This window comes from Homo sapiens, chromosome 12 (assembly GCF_000001405.40).
Source record: "Homo sapiens chromosome 12, GRCh38.p14 Primary Assembly".
NCBI lineage: Eukaryota > Metazoa > Chordata > Mammalia > Primates > Hominidae > Homo > Homo sapiens.
In genome coordinates this window covers 3,633,271-3,655,368 of record NC_000012.12, presented here as the reverse complement: position 1 = coordinate 3,655,368, position 22,098 = coordinate 3,633,271, and the positions used below count along the sequence as shown (strand labels likewise).

Sequence of the window (22,098 nt, the reverse complement as noted above, 5' to 3'; positions counted from 1 at the left end):
AAGATGATTTCTACTCCGGGAACTGCCAGCTGCCTCCCCATTTCCCCATCCACAGTTGTACCTTGCTTCTCCTACTCTTTCTCTTCCTCTCTATTATGCATTAAGTTCCTAGCAATTACATTTATCCCTCAAATGAATGATTGCCACTCGATTTAATTACTGCATGCTTGCCTGATTACACAGGAGCCTCTTGAGAATCACGCCAAATTCCTTGTTGTTACTTCTTCCTCCCCTTGCCGGCCATATTCATTAAACTAAATTTATTATGATATATGTACCTTGGTTTGATTCTTCCTCTGGTGAGAGGATTGGAAGCTCTGCAAAGCATAATCAACAGCCAAGAAAAGCTGAAGCTATAAAAATGCAGGGTTTTTAGTTGCTTTAGGGACATAGAAAAGGTCTATGTTCTGTTTGAACTGTTTTAGTTATTTCCTAAGAATTTTCAGGGCTTCTGGCTACCCTTAAAAGCTTCTCTAGATTAATGGAATTGGAGTTGAGAGGAGAAAAGGGAATATATAGATTTGCTATCAGCGTGCAAAATTGGGAAGGATGGTTTTATGAAGCAGGCCATTTAGCTGTTCCCCTTCTCCATCAAGGACCAAGGGAAAGAAATTGGCTTAAAGGACAACAAGATGGATTTAGGTTAGATCTCAAGGCCATTCACACAGACGGATTGTGGAAGTTCCTTTGCTAGTGGTCTTTTTGAGTGGAGCAGCTCCTCCTGGACTATTTAGTGGTCCTATGTGGAGACAGGGGAGAGACAAGATGTGTCTGAAAGCTCCTTCTTGCCTAGAGGAGTGTGTACGTGTGAACTGAGGAGAGGACAATGCTGATTTAGGCTTGAGGCCAGTGAGGGGTGGCAGTGACGGTTCCTGCCTGCCAAGCAGAGAAAACAAGGTGAGGCCAGGGCAGGCCCTCCTGAAAATGGTGGTCACTCCTCATTCCCCTCTGCTCCCCATTCCTTTGCAGCTGGAAGGTCAGTGCACAGCCCTGCATCATGACAAGCATGAGACCAAGGCTGAGAATACCAAGCTGAAACTCACTAACCAGGAGCTGGCCCGGGAGCTGGAGCGGACTTCCTGGGAGCTCCAGGATGCTCAGCAGCAGTTGGAAAGCCTCCAGCAAGAGGCCTGCAAACTCCACCAAGAGAAGGAGATGTGAGTCCAGCCTTTGTCCACTCCTCTGCTGTCTTCCCGCACCACTCCCCACTATGGGCATGTCCCCTCGCCGCTCAGAGACCCTGTCTCCTTGCCTGTGAAAAGAGGATTTGGGCTTGTTGCTCCCTGAGACTCTTCTAACACTCCTCTAGGATTCTGACACTATTAAGCAGACCAGTTCTGTGTCCAGCATTGCCTAGGATTGACAAGAAATGTACAGCCCTGTTCTCAGAAAATGCATTCTGTGATTACAAAGACATGTTATTCCGCAAACAAATATGAGGTTACTCATATGTACTCATATGTTACTTTATGACTATATAAAACAAGTACTTACCAGAACTTGTTTTATATAGTATGTGGGCAAATGCTGAGTGAGCAGACAGATCCTAAGTGACTGTGGTCGTGTAGAGACCTGGGAGGCCAAGAGGGACCAGAGGGAAGCAGGGAGGCTTCCAGGATCAGCATATGATCTGATGGAGCATGTGTCACTGCCCTGGACTCGCCTCTCCATCTCTGCCCATTTTTTTCACCATGTTCCTCAGATTCAACTGTGTGGTCCCAGTAGGGGGAAACCCCACATCTCTCAGGGCCCGACCTGCCAATATCGTCCAGCCATGGGGGTTAGTTTACTAGGCAGAGGCACACCTGAGGCAGAATCAAGCCTGGGTCTGCACCTTAAGCTGGAGGAGTCCCTGAAGAGTCAGTCATTTATCTTGTCTTGGGAGTATTAGGTTTTAGAACAAATGTACTCTGAGGCTCAGGGCAGAGGACTCTCATTTGTTTATTTGTATATTCATGTATCCATATAGTCAATGACTTATTCATTTGGCAAACATTTATTTTGTGCTAGGTACCGTGCTGGGCATTCAATATATCTCACTTATGTCGATAATTTGACATCCTCTCGTTTGATCTTTAAATCATCCTGGGCCAGGCGCGGTGGCTCACGCCTGTAATCCCAGCACTTTGGGAGGCCAAGGTGGGCAGATTACAAGGTCAGGAGTTCAAGACCAGCCTGACCAACACGGTGAAACCCCATCTCTACTAAAAATACAAAAATTAGCCAGGCATGATGGCGCACGCCTGTAATCTCAGCTACTCGGGAGGCTGAGGCAGGAGAATGGCTTGAACCTGGGAGGCAGAGGTTACAGTGAGCCAAGATCGTGCCACTGCACTCCAGCTTGGGTGACAGAGTGAGACTCCCCGTCTCAAAAAAAAAAAATTATCCTGGTATAGCAGGTTCTGCTATTATCGAGGAGGAAACTGAGGTTCAGAGGTTTAAGTAACTCTCCCAAGATGCTAAGAGTTAGGCACGTCTTGCTGATTTTCCCTAGAGAATAACAAGCCTGCAGAAAATATTCTTACAAGAGTTGGACTTGCTATCATTTACTCACGCATTCGTTTATGCACTCTTCATTCATTCATTTATTCTGAAAAAAGTAGTTGTGTGTCTGATCCTGAAAGGTACCAGGTAGTACTGAAAGTCTGATTTTAGGGAAAAGGGCAGTGCTACTTACCGGAACTTGTTTTATAGATGTTAACTCCCCTTGTTCAAAAGTGAAGGTGCTCACTCTGTCTGACTGCTGGCAGGATTTTGGTCCATAGGCCTAAATAAAACTGCTCTGCTGGTTTGACTTATGTGCGGAATCCTGTACCATTTGGCACTAATTGCCTGGGGTAAAAGGAAGGAGACATGTTTGAGCTGGGAATTTCACCCTAGTAAGATAGCCCTAGTTAAAAAAAAAGCAAAAACAAAAAAACTCCCAAGTAGCTGACTTAAAATAAGCCCCTCCATTCCAATTCTTGGATGACCAATTGTGGAAGGACAACATATTTCATTGTGAACAAGCAAAATCAGTTCCTCCTCATTGAGAACAGGTCAACAAGGTACAGGCATTTAGCTTTACAAACAGAATTAAGGATGCAGGCTCTTGAAATTCAATCAAGCTCTAAAAGCAACAAACATCTGAAGGCACAAGCATTAGAACAGCAAATGGAAATAAACACCCAGTGCTGGAGCATCACATCACAGCATGAGGATTCAAAGCTTTCTGAAGTCTTATCTTAATTAACCAAGCCAGAGACACAATCTCTGGAGGCTGGGAATTGAAAAAGAGGGAGGGAGGGAGGGTTGGGAGGAAGAGAGAAATATGACTCCAGAACCTTCACAAACTTGTTTTCAAGAAGCTTGCAGTTTCTTGTGCAGCCGGTGAGCATGCTGGGGCCCGGAGAGCATGTCCCGTCCAGGGAGGCCAGGAGAGCAGTGCAGCAAGAGGATTAGCTTGTTCTCCATAGAGTGGGGTTGCAGACCGGCAGATGGAGAGGGCTTTGATGCTCTGGGTCACTTCCTTCATTTCATACATGAAGATTCTGAGGCTCAGAGAGGTGTAGTGACCTGCCCAAAGCCATGCAGCTAGCTAGTGCCGGATAACAAGGACAGAGCCCAGTTCTCCTGATAGTCCCATGCTCTCTGACAGGGTCTTGCTGCCCCGTGCTACTGCAGAGCAGCTGGGAGAGGAAAGGGTGGAGCTGGGAGGTAAACAGGCTTAGTCACTGATCAGCAAGAATTCTGAACAGGCAAAATTAATTTTGCTGATCTCTGAAGATGCTCAAGGTAGCAGAAGTAGATTTTAAAATGAGATAAAGAAAGAACTATCAAGCAGAGAGATAATGTAAAGATGAAGGTCAGCTGAGAAGCAGCAACTCTGTTTTTTAATTAACTTTTATTTTGAGTAAGTAATTATGACAAGGCAGGAAATTCAAAAGGCACAAAAGGTTATACGTTCAAAAAGAAGTCTGTGTCCCCCACATAGCCCCGATCTGCAGTCATCAGATCCACTGGCCATGGTTTCTTGTGGATCCTTTGAGAGTATGCTCTGTATATGCAGGCACAGGCACATATATGTGCGTGCACACACGTGCACACGCATGCATACACACACACTTTTCCTTTATAAATCAGTAGCATACTAAGCATACTGTTCTGCATTAGCATTGCATTTTTCACTTGACAGTATGGCTTGTGAAGTGCTCCATAGCGCATCCCTCCCCTAAAACAGCCAATAGCAGTTCCCTAAGGGTAACCATAAACGCCTCACCAATTACCACTCCAAACAAACGCAGGTTCTTTCCCTTTCAGTTTACATATTACCCATGTATACACTTTTAGAACCTCTAGGTTAGAAGGACTTTAGAGGTCATTTAGTCAAATATCTAAGTGTCTTTCTTTTTTCAGAAGTGCCTTTCTTTTGTTGACACAAAAATATATTTCTGAATATATGTGTGTATATATGGATGTACAAATATCCAAGCAGATATATGTTTACTAGACAAATAGAACAGTACCTGTATTCACATGTATTTCTAATACATATGTATGGATATGTAGCTCCAGTGGTCACTGGTGCTGTGTATGCAGAGCCAGAGAAGACTTAGAATTTGGGAACTGGCTATTTGGTAAAACGCTCCGTGAGAACCCAGACCTTAAGTCCCTGGTGAATGATTTTCCTGAGCAGAGGAAAAAGCTGTGAGCTCCTGGCCACCCCTGGAGAGAGGCAGGACACAGGGTGGGGTGGGGGGACCCTAAAGCACAGCACCAGGATCTTCAGCTCCCAGGGCTCAGAGTCGGGAGCGGGCAGCTCTGCTCACGGAGCACTCATCACAGCAGAGTCCCAGACAGGGGTTTAGAGACCCAGTTTGGATAATGGGAAATACATTGTTTTACTTCAAGTTGAAATTAAATATAATTGGTAATAAAATGTCAGGAATTTGCATCTCTGCAGGAGCCAGAGAAAGTTTGTTGCTCAATTGGAATTGTCTGAGTTGAACTTAGAATTTCATTCAGCCTGTTATTGCTGTAAATTAACTTTGCAATTATTCTATAAAGTGGGGAAAAAAAGAAACATCGTGCTTAAGGAATCAGGTTAATAGGAGCTTGGCAGGAGAGTCCTGTGGGCCAGCATGTTGGTGCAGTTTTTGCCAGCTCAGTAATGATACTGATGGGGTGGCAGTGGGGTCCTTGCCCAGCCCAGTGTGTGCACAGCCTGGCAGCCCTGACAGCCCATGGAAAGTGACGCCTGTATCAACTTGCGAGATGCTCCCTACATGAAAAGCTGTGCTGCAGTTTGGAAACGTGAAACTATGAACCCTTGTAGTAAGATCGGAGGGTGATTAAAAAATGTCTAAAGCATGGTATAGAACACAGAAGGAAAAATGAAGACAGAATTGTGAAGTTAAGCCAGTTTCCCATTATCACCTAAGTGCTTATTTTTTTCTTTCCTTTCTTCCCTGAGTGATGCTGAAGACCTCCCCAATTACCCCATCTTTCCTTCCTCTTTTTTCTTCCTTTTTCTCCTTCCTTCATTCCTTCCTTCCTCTCTTCCTCCTTCCCTCCCTTTCTTCCTTCTTTGCTCCCCCTCACCTCTTTTACTCTCTCTCTTTTCTTTCTTCCTACAACTATTTGCTGATTACACCTCCATGCCAGGCACTGTGTTGAGGGTATCGATGTAAACAAACCAGACACAGCCCTTACCTCCCCACCTGAGTTGCCCTCTAGTTGCCCTGATTCACAGCCTCCCTGCCTCTCTCTTCCTTTCCTCACAACTCCTGTTATAATTAACACGTTTGCACAGTGATATCAATGATTATAATAGATACATTCAATCTCTGCATTACAGCTGGATCATAAGTCAGAGAAATGAGTGCCCAATAGTGAAAAGCCCAGATATCTGGAGACTTTGGGAGGAGGGTGGGAAAGAGAAGGTGATTCTTCCAGAGCTCCTAAAAACATACTGAACCAGCCTCTGGGTGGGGTGAGAATGGGAGGGAAGGTAATACAAATTCTGCTCTCACCCTTCAAGATCTGGCTGGAGAAGAATATTGATTTGAATTCCCTGAAGTCTGGATAGGATAGGGCAGTTTGGAGCCTGGACAAACTCTTTTTTATTTATTTATTTATTTATTTATTTATCTTATTATTGTTATACTTTAAGTTTTAGGGTACATGTGCACAACGTGCAGGTTTGTTACATATGTATACATGTGCCATGTTGGTGTGCTGCACCCATTAACTCGTCATTTAGCATTAGGTATATCTCCTAATGCTATCCCTCCCCCCTTCCCCCACCCCACAACAGTCCCTGGTGTGTGATGTTCCCCTTCCTGTGTCCGTGTTCTCATTGTTCAATTCCCACCTATGAGTGAGAACATGTGGTGTTTGGTTTTTGAGCCTGGACCAACTCTTTAGTGACCATCCAGCCTATTCACAGGTGGCATGTGAAGTGGCTGTGGAATGAGCTGGGTCTGGGGTTAGGAGGGGACCCTGGTTCAGTCGCGGATTGTCTGTGTGAACTGGAAAGACTTAGCAGACTTCTTTGATGGTCAGAGTCTGTGAAATGAGGATAAGTTCACCTCCCAAATTGGCCATGTGTGATGCCCAAAGCACTTGCATACTGTAGGAGCTCTCCAGGAGGAGGCCACGTTCCTCCAATGCCCTCCATCCCCAGCACGGCATCACCTGCTGGTCTCCAGCATGAGGGGTCCGGGCATCCGGCTTCCACCTGGGAGCTCACTGCCATGTGTTTGCCTCCTCCTCAGGGAAGTGTACCGTGTGACGGAGAGTCTACAGCGTGAGAAGGCCGGGCTCCTCAAGCAGCTGGATTTCCTAAGGTGCGTCGGTGGGCACTGGCCTGTGCTGAGAGCACCTCCCAGAAGCCTGGGGTCGGAAGGACCAGTCTGAGGGTCATCCTTGCCTACGTGCTGGAAAAACGTGCCTGCTGAGAGAGTGCCCTCAATTCCCTTGGTCCCCAGTGCAGTGTTTGGACCACCAAGTAGCCACTCTATTATGTTTGGTCCGTTTACACATGCGCCCACATCCAGTTTATTCCTCCTGGTGGGGAGGCTCTGCCCCACTCCTCTGAGTCCCTCACAGGACTGTGCTTGGTACTTGATCTCATGCGAGCAGAGCTGGGTTTAATGAGCATTTAATCTATGCTAGAAATATTATCTCGTTCATTGTCAGCAAAACTGTTAGGTGAGTAGGGCAGTTCATTCACAGGAATTTACTGATGGGAAGTTGATATTAGAGGAAAGAAGTAATTTACCACAGGCGACACAGCTACTCTCTGATGGGGCCAGAATGGAAATCCGTAACTCGGCTGTGTTCTGTTCATGTTTGTTGAATGAGTAAATGAATCACAAACAGAGCACCAAGAAAAAGCTTTCTCAGCCTTCAAAGACCCCCAGCAATAAACTCAAAGTTTACTGGTCTGGAATGTGCACCACCCTCCCCTCCTCAGAAAGACAAACCCGTGTGGGGAAAGATGGAATTTTTGATGTTGCCCATGAAGTTTCTAAGTCACTGCCTGCTGAGCACCTCTTGGGGAATGGTGAGGAAACAGAAGGACTTTGGGTTCTGATTTTTGAAGTGCAAGTGGTTTTGAATCACTTCCTAGTTATGTTATGAAGGTTTTTGTTTTTGTGAAAGCAAGGGAAGCTCACTGTGTCTGGCATCTATGATGCTACCAAATGGAAAAGTGCTTTAACCTGAATGCGTTTCAGATTGATTGTGCTCAGTACATGATTCAGCCTCCAGAGCCAGGGAACATGTAAAGGGGTTCTTAGGTGACCAGGCTATAATCCATTTGCGCGAAGGTCTTGATTCTTAGGAAGACTTTAGTAAAAGGAAGAGAACAAAACGTATAAGGACAAGTTTGGGGTCTTTTTTTTCTATTGCATTTAGAAAAAAATGAAAGGGTAGATTCAAAGAGAATGAGCAGGGGAGAATGACAAGGCAGCTCTCTACAAATACTTATGGGTCTTTTTAATGGAGGCTAGCATTTGTGCAGAATCACAAAAGGCCTGAGGCCTTTCTGTGCCATCGATCCAGGGTTACCAAGCTTAAGCCCCAATGGCTAATGAAAGCTGAGAGGTGGAGGGAAGGCCTTATGGCAGATCTCCCCTTCACAGTGAAACCACCAGGAATCAAGGGAGAGATAATGCTGAGGTGGGGGTGGGGGACAGCGGGAATGTCAGGGGAGGGTAGGGGTGGGACGGTGGTGGAATCAGGACAACAGCTGGGGTGTGACGGGGTGAGAAGGGCTGCCATCCGAAGGACATTGGGTACAAACGCAAGCAATTTCAGGGCACTTGATTAGGAACATGCACTTTGAAGCTGGATCTGATTCAAAACCCAGCACTTCCTCTCATTAGCTTGTGTGACCTTGGGCAGTTGACTTAACCAACCCGAGTCTTAATTTTCCCATGCCTAGCTGACAGGCTTCTTTTGAGAATTAGATGATACATGTGAGTAGGAATCACAGTAGAGCAGCGATGCAAACAAAAGCAGATATGTTTCTTTAAATACTGAGGCTTCTGTATGGGGATGGCTACATCCCCATAAAGCAGGAAGCCACAAAGCAGGAAACAATGCAGCCTGCTTTCCAAAAAACGGTGGGACTTTCCAGGTCTCCCAAGGTCCTTGCTCATGTGCAAGGGTGCTAACTCACAGCTCCGCGCGGAGCGAGGATCCCTCTGGCATGAGCAGCTCACTTTGCCATTCTCAGGACTTGTGAAATAACCTCCATGTCCCTCCTGACTTATTCTGAAGGCCCTGGCTGTGTGCCTGCCTGCTCACCTCATGCAGGTAACTGAAAACAACCCTGGCACATTCCTAATGTTTTCTGCAAGACTGGTGGAATTGGAAGTCAGTTGCCCAGGTGGTGACACCTCAGGCCCCACCTAAAATCTCTTTCTATAGTTTACAACACACTTAGCGGAGCGCCTGGCCCACAATAAGTGCTCCATAAATGGCTGCATTATGATGATCAGGGCCTAACCATGGCTGTGCCCTCCCTTGCCCTTCAAAAGTGTGGGTTTGTTCAGAGGCCACTGGCCAGAAGAGTCATAGAATCACAAAACTGCTAAGCACGTTGAGGTCATCTGGCCTGCCCTCTCCACCTCTTGTGTTAACGGATGAAATTCTCCACTGTGATCCCCAAGTGCATTCTGCAGTCGCGCTGCGACCCAGTCAACTCACTTTCCCAACTGCTCCTACTTTAAGTCCTGGAAAAAAGACTCCTCCTTTTCCATCCTCACGCTTGCTCCTGTTTCACAGCTGGAACCATGCAATAAGAGCTTCCTCCCATGCCCATGTCTCTGCCTTCTTCTCTGTTACGGTGGATGTACTCCCCATACTCGTCACAGAGGCCACCCCCTACCCCCGTGCCCAACTCACACTCTAGAATTAGAGCCTGTCCCTTCCTGGCTCCTCAAGGACTAGTCCAGCATTTGTTCTTTCTCTCCTCCATTGTCAGTTTTATCTCTTTTGAAGATACCTACAAATGTACTCTAATGTTTCTTGTCTAACAACTCTTGTCCTCACTTCCCCACCCAGCTACTTGCTTTGCCATTTCTTCAACCCCTTTACAACAAAACTTTCAGAAGAGTTGTTCACATTCACTGTCTCCACTCCTTTTCTTCACATTCTCAACCCACCAATCAGGCCTTTTCCCCGTGCTGTTCCAAAAAAACGGTTCTTACCCAGGTTGCCAATGACCTCCATGTTGCTAAAAATATTCGTCAAGTGTCAGGACCCCACGCTTGCCCCCAGCAATCTGTTCTTAGCACCCATCCAGAGGGATCCTTTGAAAACTGAAGCCAGATCTTGACACTTCTTTGCCATCTGCTTCACCCCCACCACCCCCAGCCCCTTGGCTTCATATCTCATTTGGAGTAAAAATCAAAGTTCGTACAGTGTCCCACAGGGCTGTGAAGAGACAGGTCCTGACCACCATCCACTTTTTCTCTCGCTTCATCTCCTAACTACTCTCCCTTTGGGCACTCTACTTCCTCCTATTTCTTGCTCACACTAGGTGTATCCCAGCACAAGGCTTTGCCCTAGCCTCTCCTCTGCCTGGAATGCTTCTCCCGCTCCTTCAAGGCTCTATGCAAATGCTGTCTTATTAGTGAGGGCGTCACTGACCACTGTAGTTGAAATACTACTCCACACTCTGGCTTCTTTTACTCCACTTTCCTGCTTTATTTTCTCAATAACAGTTATACCTCCACTAAAATACAAGTTCTGTGAGGCAGGAACTTTTTGTTTTGGTCATTGGTGTGACCTTGATGGCTAGAAGAGTGCCTGACATGCAGTGGGTGCTCAGGAGACATTTGAGTGAATGCGTGCATGCATGCATGAGTGAATGAATGAATGAATGGTGCACAGAGAGAAAGAAAGAGGGAGCCCAACAGGAAGCTCCCAGGTGGAGCTGGAATGCTGAGGTCCCCTCTGTAGGCAGTGCCCCTAATAATAAGAGAGGCCATGCATAATCCTGATGGGCCACGGGTGTCTCAAGGGCATTCAGTCTATCCCCCACATCTGTGTGTACCTATCTGTACACAAAAACTATCCTCTACCATTAATCACATCCCTATGGAAGGAGATTCCACAGACTCCCCTGTCTTCCATACCACACCTTCCCCTGCACCCATCTGAATAGCAAATTGGCTGCCGTTGGATCTGTCAACTGCAAACTCCATGTTTGAATAGATTCCCCTTTACCATCCACAGGGAAAGGAACAAGCACCTTCGGGATGAACGGGACATATGTTTTCAGGTAATTGGCCAGTTCTCCCTTACCTGTGGGGGACCAAGGGCTGTGGTCCACTGGACAGCCAGATCCATGTCGAGACTGGCCCAGCAATGTCCTGACACTCGGGATCTATTTGGCAGGATGACGGCATGAAAACGTTTTGCAAATAATAAAAATTCAGGGTGGCCTACTGGGTAACAACGTGTTAATTTTCCACAGAGTAATGCAGTTTCCTCTTGGCACAACAAGACTGAAATATTTGGGAGGGTCGCACATTTCTTGGATGCAGAAATGATAGTTCTATCCATGAGATGGCGCAGTTGAAATGTCATTATCACTTCTAAACCAAAATGCTCACACCGTTCTTCTTCATTTAAATTTTTATCTCGATGAAAATTTTGCATTTTATACTGTCATAGACCACATTAGAAATGTGTATTTCACTGTTTTCATACTTGATTTTATGAACAATTTTTCTCTATCCTATAGGGACCCCTACTCTTCCATACCTGAGTACCATGTCTCTCTCTCTATATATATGTAGTGTGTGCATATATATATATATATATGAGTCGTAGAATCACAAAACTGCTAAGCACTTTGAGGTCATCTGGACTGCCCTCTCCACCTCTAGTATTAACGGATGAAATTCCCAGCTGTGAACCCCAAAGTGCATTCTGCAGTTTATATATATATATATAATATAAATATATATAATATATATTATATATTAATATAAATATATATAATATATATAATATAAATATATAATATATATTATATATATTTATATATAATATAAATATATATATAATATATATTATATAAATATATATATAAACTATATATATATAGTCTGTGTGCATATATATGTATGTATGTGTATATGTGTGTGTATATGTATGTACATATATATATATACACACACACACTTTCCTAAACGACATGAAATCCTATATTTATTTGAAGGTCTTCACTGTGGACCACATTGGCCAAAACCTAGGATTCCATGTTCTTACTCATCTTTCCCTTTAGACAGGAGCCACTGGGTGCTTTGAAGGGAAGAAAAATGAAGGCCAAATTGATTGATGTGACTTCCTAATTATCAGGGTTACCATCCTATGAATTTCATGTGGGTCCCTGGGCAAGTCATTTACTGCCTTGGACCATGACCTCCGCTGTCACGCGAGGAAAGTGAATTCCCATCCCCCCTCCATACAACAGGAATCTTTGAGAAAGATTCTTGGAAAGGGGATGATGTGGATTGCACCCTTAGCTGAACGGTGACCTAGATATGGTCAGCAGAAGGCAATTGGTTTGCCCTAAATTAGATCTGACCTGCTTTATAATTGCAAATCCCTGAGGGACTGCATTACGCCACAGTTTCTTTTCCATTGCTGACTGGCAGCAAACATCTCTGCCACCCACCTGTGTGTACTATTAGAGCAAGACTTGAGCCTACACATGTTTGTTTGATGATGATAATGGTTATAATTGTTTTAGAAGTAACACTGAATTTATTTTAAAACTTCCAACCAAATGTCACCCGAATCCCTTCACCTCCCTTCCCTTTACCTGCCAAACTCATTCTGCTTTGAAAGGGGTATGGAATTAAGAACTTCTGTGGGGAATCAAAGAAAGGGATAAATTCAATAAGAATTGAAGATTGATTTAGAATCAGCATAGCCATACCTTCAGGGGCTCTGGGAGCATTGCAGCCCCTCCTCTCATTAAGGATCACTGGGAATCATGGGATGGCTAATTAACGAGAGAGATTTCCTGCAGTCTAACTCCCCCGCCTCATCTCCTGGAAGACATCTGTCAGGGAGCATAGGCAAAGGGGGTTGTAAACCCCTGCTCCACCCAGGTCCTGTGTTACAGATGTTAGTAGTTTATCTACACCCAGCCTACTTCCACCAAAGAGCTGAACTACCTTATGCTAGCTCAGGACAGAACACTGAGTTAATTGATCCTCCTGGCTAGTTACTTTCTCATTACATCTGAGGCTTTAGAAATAAAAAGGGATTGGAGCCAGACAGAAGAGTGTGAATTAAAGATTCACAGAGTTTTTTATGCCTGTAAATATTTTTTCTTTTTTCTATCTGACCAGGCGTGGTGGCTCACTCCTGTAATCCCAATACTTTGGGAGAGTGAGACAGGAGGATCACTTAAGGCCAAGAATTCAAGACCAGCCTGGACAACATAGCAAGAGTCCATCTCCACAAAAAATGAGAAAATTAGCCAGGCATGGTAGGGCGCCTATAATCCTAGCTACCCAGGAGGCTGAGGCTAGAGGATTGCTTGAGTGCAGGAGTTTGAGGCTGCAGTGCGCTGTGATCATGCCATTGCACTCTGACCTGGAAGACAGAGCAAGACCCTGTTTCAAAAATATAGATATATTTTTTCAGAAGAGATAAGTGTTTAATGTATATTTTCTAGATGCATTAGAAATATGTATAGAAAATATGCATTAAACACTTATCTCTTCTTTTCCTTTTACAAATCATCAGTGCTCCTGTGAATAGCATGATGGGCCCCAGGCTGTAAACTGTGCACTTGTTCATTTGATTAGCTGACTGGAAAGGAGATGGAGGGATTCTGGTAGGGGATGATGGCAAAAGGGAAGAGTGGCTAGACGCTAACAGGGAGACCAGAACACTGCCTACTCCTTTCAGAGTTTTGTGTAGAGCCTAGTCTATGAGGTGGGAACCATGAGCCCTTTTCTGTTCAAACATCGGAGCAAATAGGCATGGATCTGAGGACATTTTGTGTTTCTACAGAAAAATAAGGCAGCCAAGGCAAACACAGCTGCTTCCAGGGCAAGTTGGAAAAAGAGATCTGGCTCTGTGATAGGCAAATATGTGGACAGCAGAGGGATTCTTAGGAGGTAAGTCATCTCCACTTGCTCATCCCTTCATTCCTCTCAGGCTCATTGGGAGCTGGCTCTGGGCCCATACTCAGTGCCTGCTGACCCCTTGAGAGGTGCGGAAACTGAGGTCAGCTGCACTCACTCCCCTCAAATCTTGGAACACATGCCCCTCCCTGTTCTGACATCTAAGCCAGAGGGGGAATGTGCAGAGCAAACCCCACAGGACAGACCATTGTCTTCTGAGGCTGCCCCACCCTACTGTGTGTTTGCAGAGAGGGACTGCAGAGCAGCAGAGGAGAGGGGTCAAGGGAGAGGGAGGGAGTGTGTAGCTGGGTAGCACTACACTGCTGTCTGCTGAGCAGAATGGATGCACTTGGTTTCGGGGTTTTTGTTGTTGTTGTTTTTTGAGACAGAGTCTTGCTTTGTTGCCCAGGCTGGAGTGCAGTGGTGCAATCTCGGCTCACTGCAACCTTTGCCTCCCAGGTTCAAGCGATTCTCCTGCCTCAGCCTCCCAAGTAGCTGGGATTACAGAGGTGCGCCACCACGCCCATCTAATTTTTGTATTTTTAGTAAAGATGGGATTTCTCCATGTTGGCCAGGCTGGTCTTGAACTCCTGCCCTCGTGATCTGCCCGCCTCGGCCTCCCAAAGTGCTAGGATTACAGGTGTGAGCCACCGTGCCCGGCCAATGCACTTGGTTTTTTAGGAACATGACTATATTGGCTATGAAGGTTAATTAAACTGTCAAATAGAATCTCCAATAGTTAACTCCTTTTACAGACAAGGCTAGGGCTTGTGCTTGACAGATCGTTTCCATGACCTATATTTAATTAACTCAAACATAACACATTTTGTTGCTCTTGGGCAGCACATGATTGAGCTTGAGTACCCAAGGGTTGGCTCATTGCTCATTGAGAGACAAACCAGTCCCCTGCCCACTCTTCATTTTGGCATGTGCTGTGTCCACATAGATGGCCACAGAGAGATAGAGGCATCCCGACTCTTCAGTATCAGACCCAGAGAGACCTTGAAGACTGCAAGCATGAAATGAAAAAGATATGCAAAGCGGAAGTGACTCTGGAGATGTAAATCAGCTCATCAGTAAAACCTTTGGGCCTGATCATCATGAATTCTTGTTCTAAATAGCTGAATAATGAGATACAATTTGGGAGCCAAATCTCTGCAATAGTGGTTGGCCTGTTGGTTCCTCAGAATGGAATGGATTGATTGATTGATTCAGCAGACGTTTACTGATTACCTACTGTGTACCAGACATTCTTTTGAGTTCTGTAAAGCCTCCAAAAATAAATTAGACATGAGGTCCTACCATTAATCTCCATTATTAAATGCTCACTTAATAAATATTTATTGAGTGTCTACTATGTGTGAGGTCCTGTGCTCTTTGCTGGATATACAGTAGTGAGCCAAATGGACCTACCTCTGTGTCATTGAATTTCTGGTTGAGTGGAAGAAGCAGACAATAATCAAGTAAGCAACAAATTGTGAGCCCTGAATTCTAATGCAGACTTTGACAAAAGTAGCTGCTGTCCCTACGGATGGCAGAGAGCACTTGGTGGTAAAACCAAAAATGAACTCAGTCATGCCGTGATGCAGGTATTACAGAATGGCAGTAGTGCTTGAGAATTTCCCAGACAGAAAGCTTTTTCCAAGAAATGCTTTGTTTTAATGCCTGTTTAAGTGACTATTTCTTTTCTGGTTGCAAAGCCTTTGAAAAAACATGCTCTGTGTGTGTGTATGCGTAGTTGCTCATGTGTACATACAAATAGTCACTTGTGTGTGTGTAAGCAGAGTAAAAGTAGATGGGAATACCAATTGTGTTCTTAAACAAATAAGCACTTAATAAGCTTGATGCAATATATAGGAAGTTTGCTGGAAAGAAGACATTTGGCTTTTTTAAAACTGTTTTTATAAGTCAAAGGAAAGGTGCTTTAATTGCTGCAAATCCTTTATTTTTCATATCAAGGAATCCAAACTAATTCACCCTTTCTTCAAGCAAGCACTATATCGTAATTTATCTTGCAGAATCGCAGTTAATTTCAGGATGGTGATACCTGCATTTTTTTTTCTTTTTCCTTTCTACTGTTGATCTTTAAGAGTAATACATATTTTAAATTAGGGAGCAAAAGAAAGTGTATTTCTCTGTTCTGCATATTCTGTGTCCTTCATTTAGTTCCTTTCTCCTTTGGCTCTATCACCCCACTGCTTCATCCCCATTCCATTTTCTTTTCTAGTCTGTGTGCATGCTTGCATGCGTGTGTGTGTGTGTGTGTGTTTCAATTCTGGACTTAAGGTCCTCCCTGTCAAACTTCCTTTAAGACAATTTCTGTGAGGCCTTTGCTCTCAAAACCTACTGAAAATACAGACCCTGCATTGACCCCCACATCCAGTTCCCCGATTCCCTGCACTGCCTACAGCTTCTCCTTGCCCTTAGTGCTCAAATGCTTCTAGAAGATATTTAGGCCTCTGAGCCACTTACTCCTGATTGTGACTTCTAGGGATACAGAAAGGGGAAGAGAAAGGGAGAGGAAGGAGAGGTGGATGGAGATGCTCTGCCTGGCTTTCTTCTGACCCAAAGCCTCTTGTCTAGGGGGAAGCTGCCTGTGAGCCAGCAGACCTGCTATGTCTGGAGGTGGGGGGCCCTCCCAAAGCAACAGCACCCCTCACACTGCTGAGGATGTTTTGCAAACATGTCTGTTTTTATGCATTGACTTATTTGGGAATAGAGCAGATGGGCCACGTTTTACAGCAAGGTCTGAAGAGTTGGAGTGTCCTACCTAAGGACACACAGTGAGTAAGGGCTGGCGCTGGGGGCAGAGCCAAGGTCATCTGCTAATGTTAATCGGGGGCGCTTTATTAAAATCTGAGTCTGAGACACGTTTCTTCACAACCTTTCCTTCTCCTTCACAGCAGTCTCACAATTTGTAAAGGATGTATTTATTTGTGTCATTATTGCTTTAGTCCCCCACTAAATCAAGTATTCTGTGAGGACAGGGATTATGTCCATCTGTAAATGGCATCTTTACTTAATACTTGGTCATCATCATCATCATCTTTGTCATCATCTGCCACAGCAGTGGCAGCAGGCACTTAGTGGAAGCGTGTTGAATGAATGAGCTGCAGAATGCTGGCTGGTTTGTTTTTCCCTCTCCCGGACTGCTCTTGTCCAAAGGTGTGATGCTCCTTGGGTATCTGTTCGTCACAAAAGCTGTTATGCAGCCCGTATTGAAATATTTTGTGAAATCCTCCCAACTCTTCTCTCTTCCCCGCCCCAGTAGCCAGTCAGAGGAGGAGGAGGAGGTGTTTGGCATCCCAAGGAGAAGCTCCCTGGGCCTGAGTGGATATCCCCTAACAGAAGAGGAGCCAGGAACCGGGGAGCCAGGGCCTGGGGGTCCGTACCCCCGGCCGCTCCGCAGAATCATCTCCGTTGAAGAAGACCCCCTGCCCCAGCTCCTGGATGGTGGCTTTGAGCAACCCCTGAGCAAATGCTCAGAAGAGGAAGAGGTCTCTGACCAGGGGGTACAGGGACAAATCCCGGAGGCCCCACCCTTGAAACTCACCCCCACATCCCCCCGAGGGCAGCCTGTTGGAAAAGAAGCCCTGTGTAAGGTAAGGGCACAGCCTACCTTGGTTCATGCACATCACTTCTATGATCTGTCTCTTGCATTTGAGGCCAAGCGCCCGGAGAGGCAGCTCAGGAGGTCAGATGCTGCAGGTCTTATGATTCACCACATATGTGTCCTCCAAATACCACTTTCCCCTGCTTAGCTGAGTGTCATGCGGGGAGACTCAGGGGTCCTGATAAATTCTCCTTAGACCTCTGTTGTGTTTGTAATAACGCTCAAAATCCTAAGGAAACTGAACATTTGAACAAAGGATTCTTAGCAAAGCAGTTCTACTTCTTCGCAGAGGGGTGCCTTCTTGGCCAGTTACCATGAGAGCACACCTCAACAAAGGGGCACGAGAGCCTTTATTTCTGACGCAAGTCCTTCCCCATTGGCCGGGGTCGGGTCATACAATCTAAACTAATCCTGGCTGGCTAAACATTTGATTTTTTTTTTTAGATAGGGTGGGCACGTAAAAGAAAGTGGAGGGAAAGGGGAAGGGGTGTGTGTAATGAGCCAGAAAGTGAGTCCCCTTTCCAAATAAGGAAAGAAATGTGAGCTGGTACTGATAACGCTTGGTACTGTGGCGTGCCTGGGCATTTAACAAAGGCAAGAAGGAAAAAAAGGAGAAAATTGGGGATTGAGAAAATTGAATTAAAGAAGAAAAGATTGATCAGATTATTTGAAGAGAAACCTCATCACATCCCACCGTTGTTTGCCCCCTTCCCGACCCTGTGCTCTCTCTTCCGATTCAGATTCAAAAGCATTAACTGGGCACCTACTTAAGCTAGACTGTATGCCAAGCTCCTCGCATACAATTTCCTACACTTTTAAAGTTGCAGGCTTTGTAACTGCTCTTAGCAGAGGCAGGTTCTGCTTTAGAAAGTTTGCATACCATCATTTTTCTCTTGGTTCTTAATCAGCGAATCACACTTTCATCCCGACATTCCCTGCCTGCTCCTCCCTTCAGTGTGACCCTGTACTGCCCACCAGGTCTTCCTGCTAAATTCTGTAGGAAAAGGGAGACCATATGAAAAGCGGCTCCTCTGGCTCATGGTGATAGATGCTCTTTGCCTCGTTTGGGACCCAGGCCTCGGAATAGGCCCCTCGAGCCCTCATCCTGCACTCCGCCTTCTGAAACAGTTTAGAACGATCCACGGCAGTGTGAAAGAGGCTCCGCCCTGCACGCCGCGGCAGCCATTGAGAACTGAGCCTTTGCCGCCTTGAACTTTTCCCAGTGGCTGCAGTAGGGTGTGAGCTACCTAATGGACTTCCCGGCATAGGTTACCATTCTCAGGCCAGGATTAAGACTCATGCCTGCAGATCACTCCTCAAGGGCCCTGGTGCAGGGGAGAGTGGAGAGCTGGGTGGCACCAATGTGGGGTCCCCCTCCCTCCTGCATGCCCTTCCACATCCCCTTCAATGCACAGACCTACACTTGCTGGCAGTGGGTACAAATAGGGTCTTATATAACTCCAAGATGTCCCCGTAAAATGTGAAAGAAGAGGTCAGTAGGAGCTGGGGTTGAAGAAAAAGGCTTAAGCGTCTGCTCAGACATCTGCTATGGCATTTTATCCTCACCGCTATCTGATGAGTCAGATCAGAAATTTATTCTCCCCATTGACAGATGGGAAAGTCAGAGCTCAGAGGGGAGAGAGGCCAGCCCCACAGTGATGGGGAGTCCAGCCCTCCTCACTGAGCTCTCTCACTTCTGTGCCCACTCCACGAGGTCCTGCTGCCGTTTTGCTGGGAACAGGAACTGCAGCAGGGAAGAAGTATGATTCACTAGCAGCCACATAACAGCTCCAGCAAGAGAAGGTACGCTCGTTTGAAGGCTACTGCAAGGCAGGCCGTGCCATACAAGGCTGGTGAGGTGTAAATTGGTACAACCCTTCTGGAAACCCATTTGGTAATATGAATCAAAAACTTAAAAATACCATATCCTTTGAACCAGCACTTCTATTGCTGGGAATTCTTCATAAGGAAATAACCAAAATCAGACAAAGATTTAACTCAAGAATGCAAGAGTTATTTATAATAGCAAACAATTTTAAAAAAAATGTCCAATAATAGGGACATAAGGCATAGTATATTAATTCACTAGAATATTATACGGCTGTTAAAAGTATTTTCAAAACTCTTTAATGACTAAAAAAATTTGTAAGTTAATAATATATGATAAAGTAGGATAAAATTTTATATATCTCAAATTTCTGTAAATAAAACAAAGATGATATAAAGAAAAGTTGGAAGGAATGCATCAAGATATGAATTGGTAAAATGGTGGTAATCCCAGCACTTTGGGAGGCCATGGTGGTAATCCCAGCACTTTGGGAGGCCATGGTGGTAATTCCAGCACTTTGGGAGGCCATGTTGAGAGGATAGCTTGAGGCCAGGAGTTCAAGACCAGCCTAAGCAACATGGGAAGACCCAGTCTTTACAAAAAATAAGAAAATTAGCCAGGCGTGTTGATGCATACCTGTAGTCATAGCTACTCCAGGGGCTGAGGCAGGAGGAGTTCTGAGCCCAGGAGTTCAAGGCTGCAGTGAGCTATGATTACACCACTGCACTCCAGCCTGGGCAACAGAATGTGACCCTGTCTCTTAAAAAATAAAAATAAAAAGATATGAATAGTGACCATTTCAGGATGGTAGGGTAGACTATGAAGAATTAATTTCCTCTCTACTTTTGTGTATTTCCTAATTTTAAAAATTAGCATACATTTTATTTCTTAAAGCCTTATTTTTTAAATTAAAAAGCATGAAGGGAGGGAGGGTGAGAAGAGATCTTCTGATTTGCCAGCCAGGTACTCCTTCTCCAGCCCCCTCCCCGCAATCCAGCCATCTTATTGTCCTGTGGCAGGTGGCCTGTCCCCCAGAGGGGACAGTGGGTTAAGTGCATGAACATACCTGAGAGTTTGCTGCCCCTGTGAGGTGAGTCCTGCCTGACACTGAGCCATTGCTGTGTCTATGGGCTTTTGCCTGCAAAATCAAAGTGCTCTGCCTGGGGAGGGGCAGTGGTCACAGGGCTAAGGATCAGGCAACACCTCTACCACCAGGACCATTGCCTGCCATCCTGGGTTTTACCTTCCCTATCCTGTACTGTGCTTGGGTGTATTAGATTGATACATTGAGTTTTAGTCTCAAATAAATAACAATTAAAAGTACAGGGACCAGCAGAGAGTTGGTGCCCTTGTGCATTGCATGAATAAAGAAAATGGGGCAGGAGGCATAGTTTTTGAGTGCAGGTTGGTTGTTATTTTTTTTTTAACTTTTAGTTTAAATTTTTGTAGATGACCTTGAATTCTCTCCTAAATACTGCATGGAATTGATTTCTCTCCAAAAGGCAGTTAATGGCTTTTTATCTGAAACTCAAGTACTGCTAATACACCTGCCACTACATTATAGTATTTGCTCAATGAGAGGAGCTAATTCCCCCAAATTCACTTTTAAATAGATTCAAAAGAGCCTCCCCATGTGACCAGGCAACGCTGAGCTGGGCCTGAAGGCAAGATGCCTGCGTTTGAGCGGCAGCTCCTGGAATGAATGATCATTCCTCAGAAGGACGCTGTGCTGGAAGGTGGCTCCTTACTCTACCTCCTGCTTGCTTTTTGTCCTAGAGCAAGTTCACTCCCCTCTGGGCTTTCCTGTCCCAGCCGTTTCCCTCTGCTGGGCCCAAGAGACAGGGCAGCAGTGACTGGCTGACTCTGGGAAGCTTTGCCCAGCAGCCTAGCATTTCCCAGCTTCCTAAGTGGAGACCCTCGTGCCTCAGTTACCCAAGGAAGATGGCAGTGCCTCGATGGGAACCGATAAGATGGACGGAGAGGGAGGCAAAAGCATCCTCCATTTAGTCCAGGCTTCCGAGGATAGGGCAGAAATAAGGAGCTCCCTGTCCCAACCTGGGACGTCTCTGTCCCTGTGATGTGGATAAGCCTTCTTTCGTCCTTCTCTCCTTCTCCGTGCAAACGCCCCACCTTGTCCTTCCCCACAGAAAGAATTCCTGCCCCCTCTTGAAGCCACCGCTCAGATCCCCTCCTCTGTGCCCCGTCACACTTGGAGCACCGAGTTGTCCTTATCCGTGAGCGTGCTGCCTCCTCCACCCCACTGGAATCCAGGGTTGGCCTCTGCCTCCCTGCCACAGGAGGCAGACAGCAAATGTCGCTTGGGTGGCTGTTTCTCCTTCCTCCTGCGGATGCTGGAAAAAGCCTCCATGCCCCAAGACCGACTATGCTCACTGCATTCTGAGGCTGTGGCAGCCTCCTGGTGCAGGTCTAGAGGCCGGTCTGCACCTCCTGAGGGCCACTGTAGGGATGGGTAAAGGGCCTCTGGTGGCAGGGGCAGGGGCTGGCAAGACTATTCCCTGCAGTTGGTCAGATTGTGTGCCATCCACAGGAGGAAAGCTCTCCCTCTGCCCCTGACCGGCTCTTCAAGATTGTGTTCGTGGGCAATTCCGCGGTGGGGAAGACATCCTTCCTGAGGAGATTCTGTGAGGACCGGTTCTCCCCAGGCATGGCGGCCACTGTGGGTGAGTTCTCATCCCTGAGGTGGGTCCTAGGCCCATCTTTGGGAAGGGAGTTTGTGAGAAGGGGGCCCGGGGCAGGGAGCGTTAGAAGCCCATGGGAAGGGCCATGGGGATTGGCCAGTAGGGATACTGGTGTCTGCTCTGTTCAACAGACAGGCTGGGAGGGGCAAGATGAAGCCACCTCCCCTCACGCTGCTAGCTGCTAAGCTCATCCTGTGTGTGATGGGACCCCTGAGTACTTTGTAAGTCCAACCTTGGGTTTATGGAACTAAATTTGGTAAAGGTAGATTTGGGTCCCCTTCCCCTCTTCAATGAGTACCCCCTCCTTTTGACCAC

The 22,098-nt window shown here is 46.0% G+C and overlaps 1 protein-coding gene across 16 annotated transcripts in view; it reads left to right on the top strand.

Annotated features, from left to right (window-relative positions):
* CRACR2A (calcium release activated channel regulator 2A) overlaps positions 1–22,098 on the top strand; it is a 137,782-nt gene that overhangs the window by 97,741 nt on the left and 17,943 nt on the right. For 8 of the 16 annotated variants that reach the window (XM_011521034.4, XM_006719021.4, XM_047429736.1 and 5 more), the window contains 6 exons: positions 970–1,157; positions 6,756–6,827; positions 10,729–10,774; positions 13,531–13,637; positions 16,912–17,245; positions 21,633–21,765. In XM_011521034.4, coding sequence (XP_011519336.1) covers positions 970–1,157; positions 6,756–6,827; positions 10,729–10,774; positions 13,531–13,637; positions 16,912–17,245; positions 21,633–21,765 — 880 coding nt within the window. Of the gene's footprint in view, positions 1–969; positions 1,158–6,755; positions 7,427–10,728; positions 10,775–13,530; positions 13,638–14,589; positions 15,001–16,911; positions 17,246–18,970; positions 19,060–21,632; positions 21,766–22,098 lie in introns of those variants that run through there. The other 8 variants (XM_047429741.1, XM_047429740.1, XM_047429739.1 and 5 more) reach the window with 7 other exon arrangements.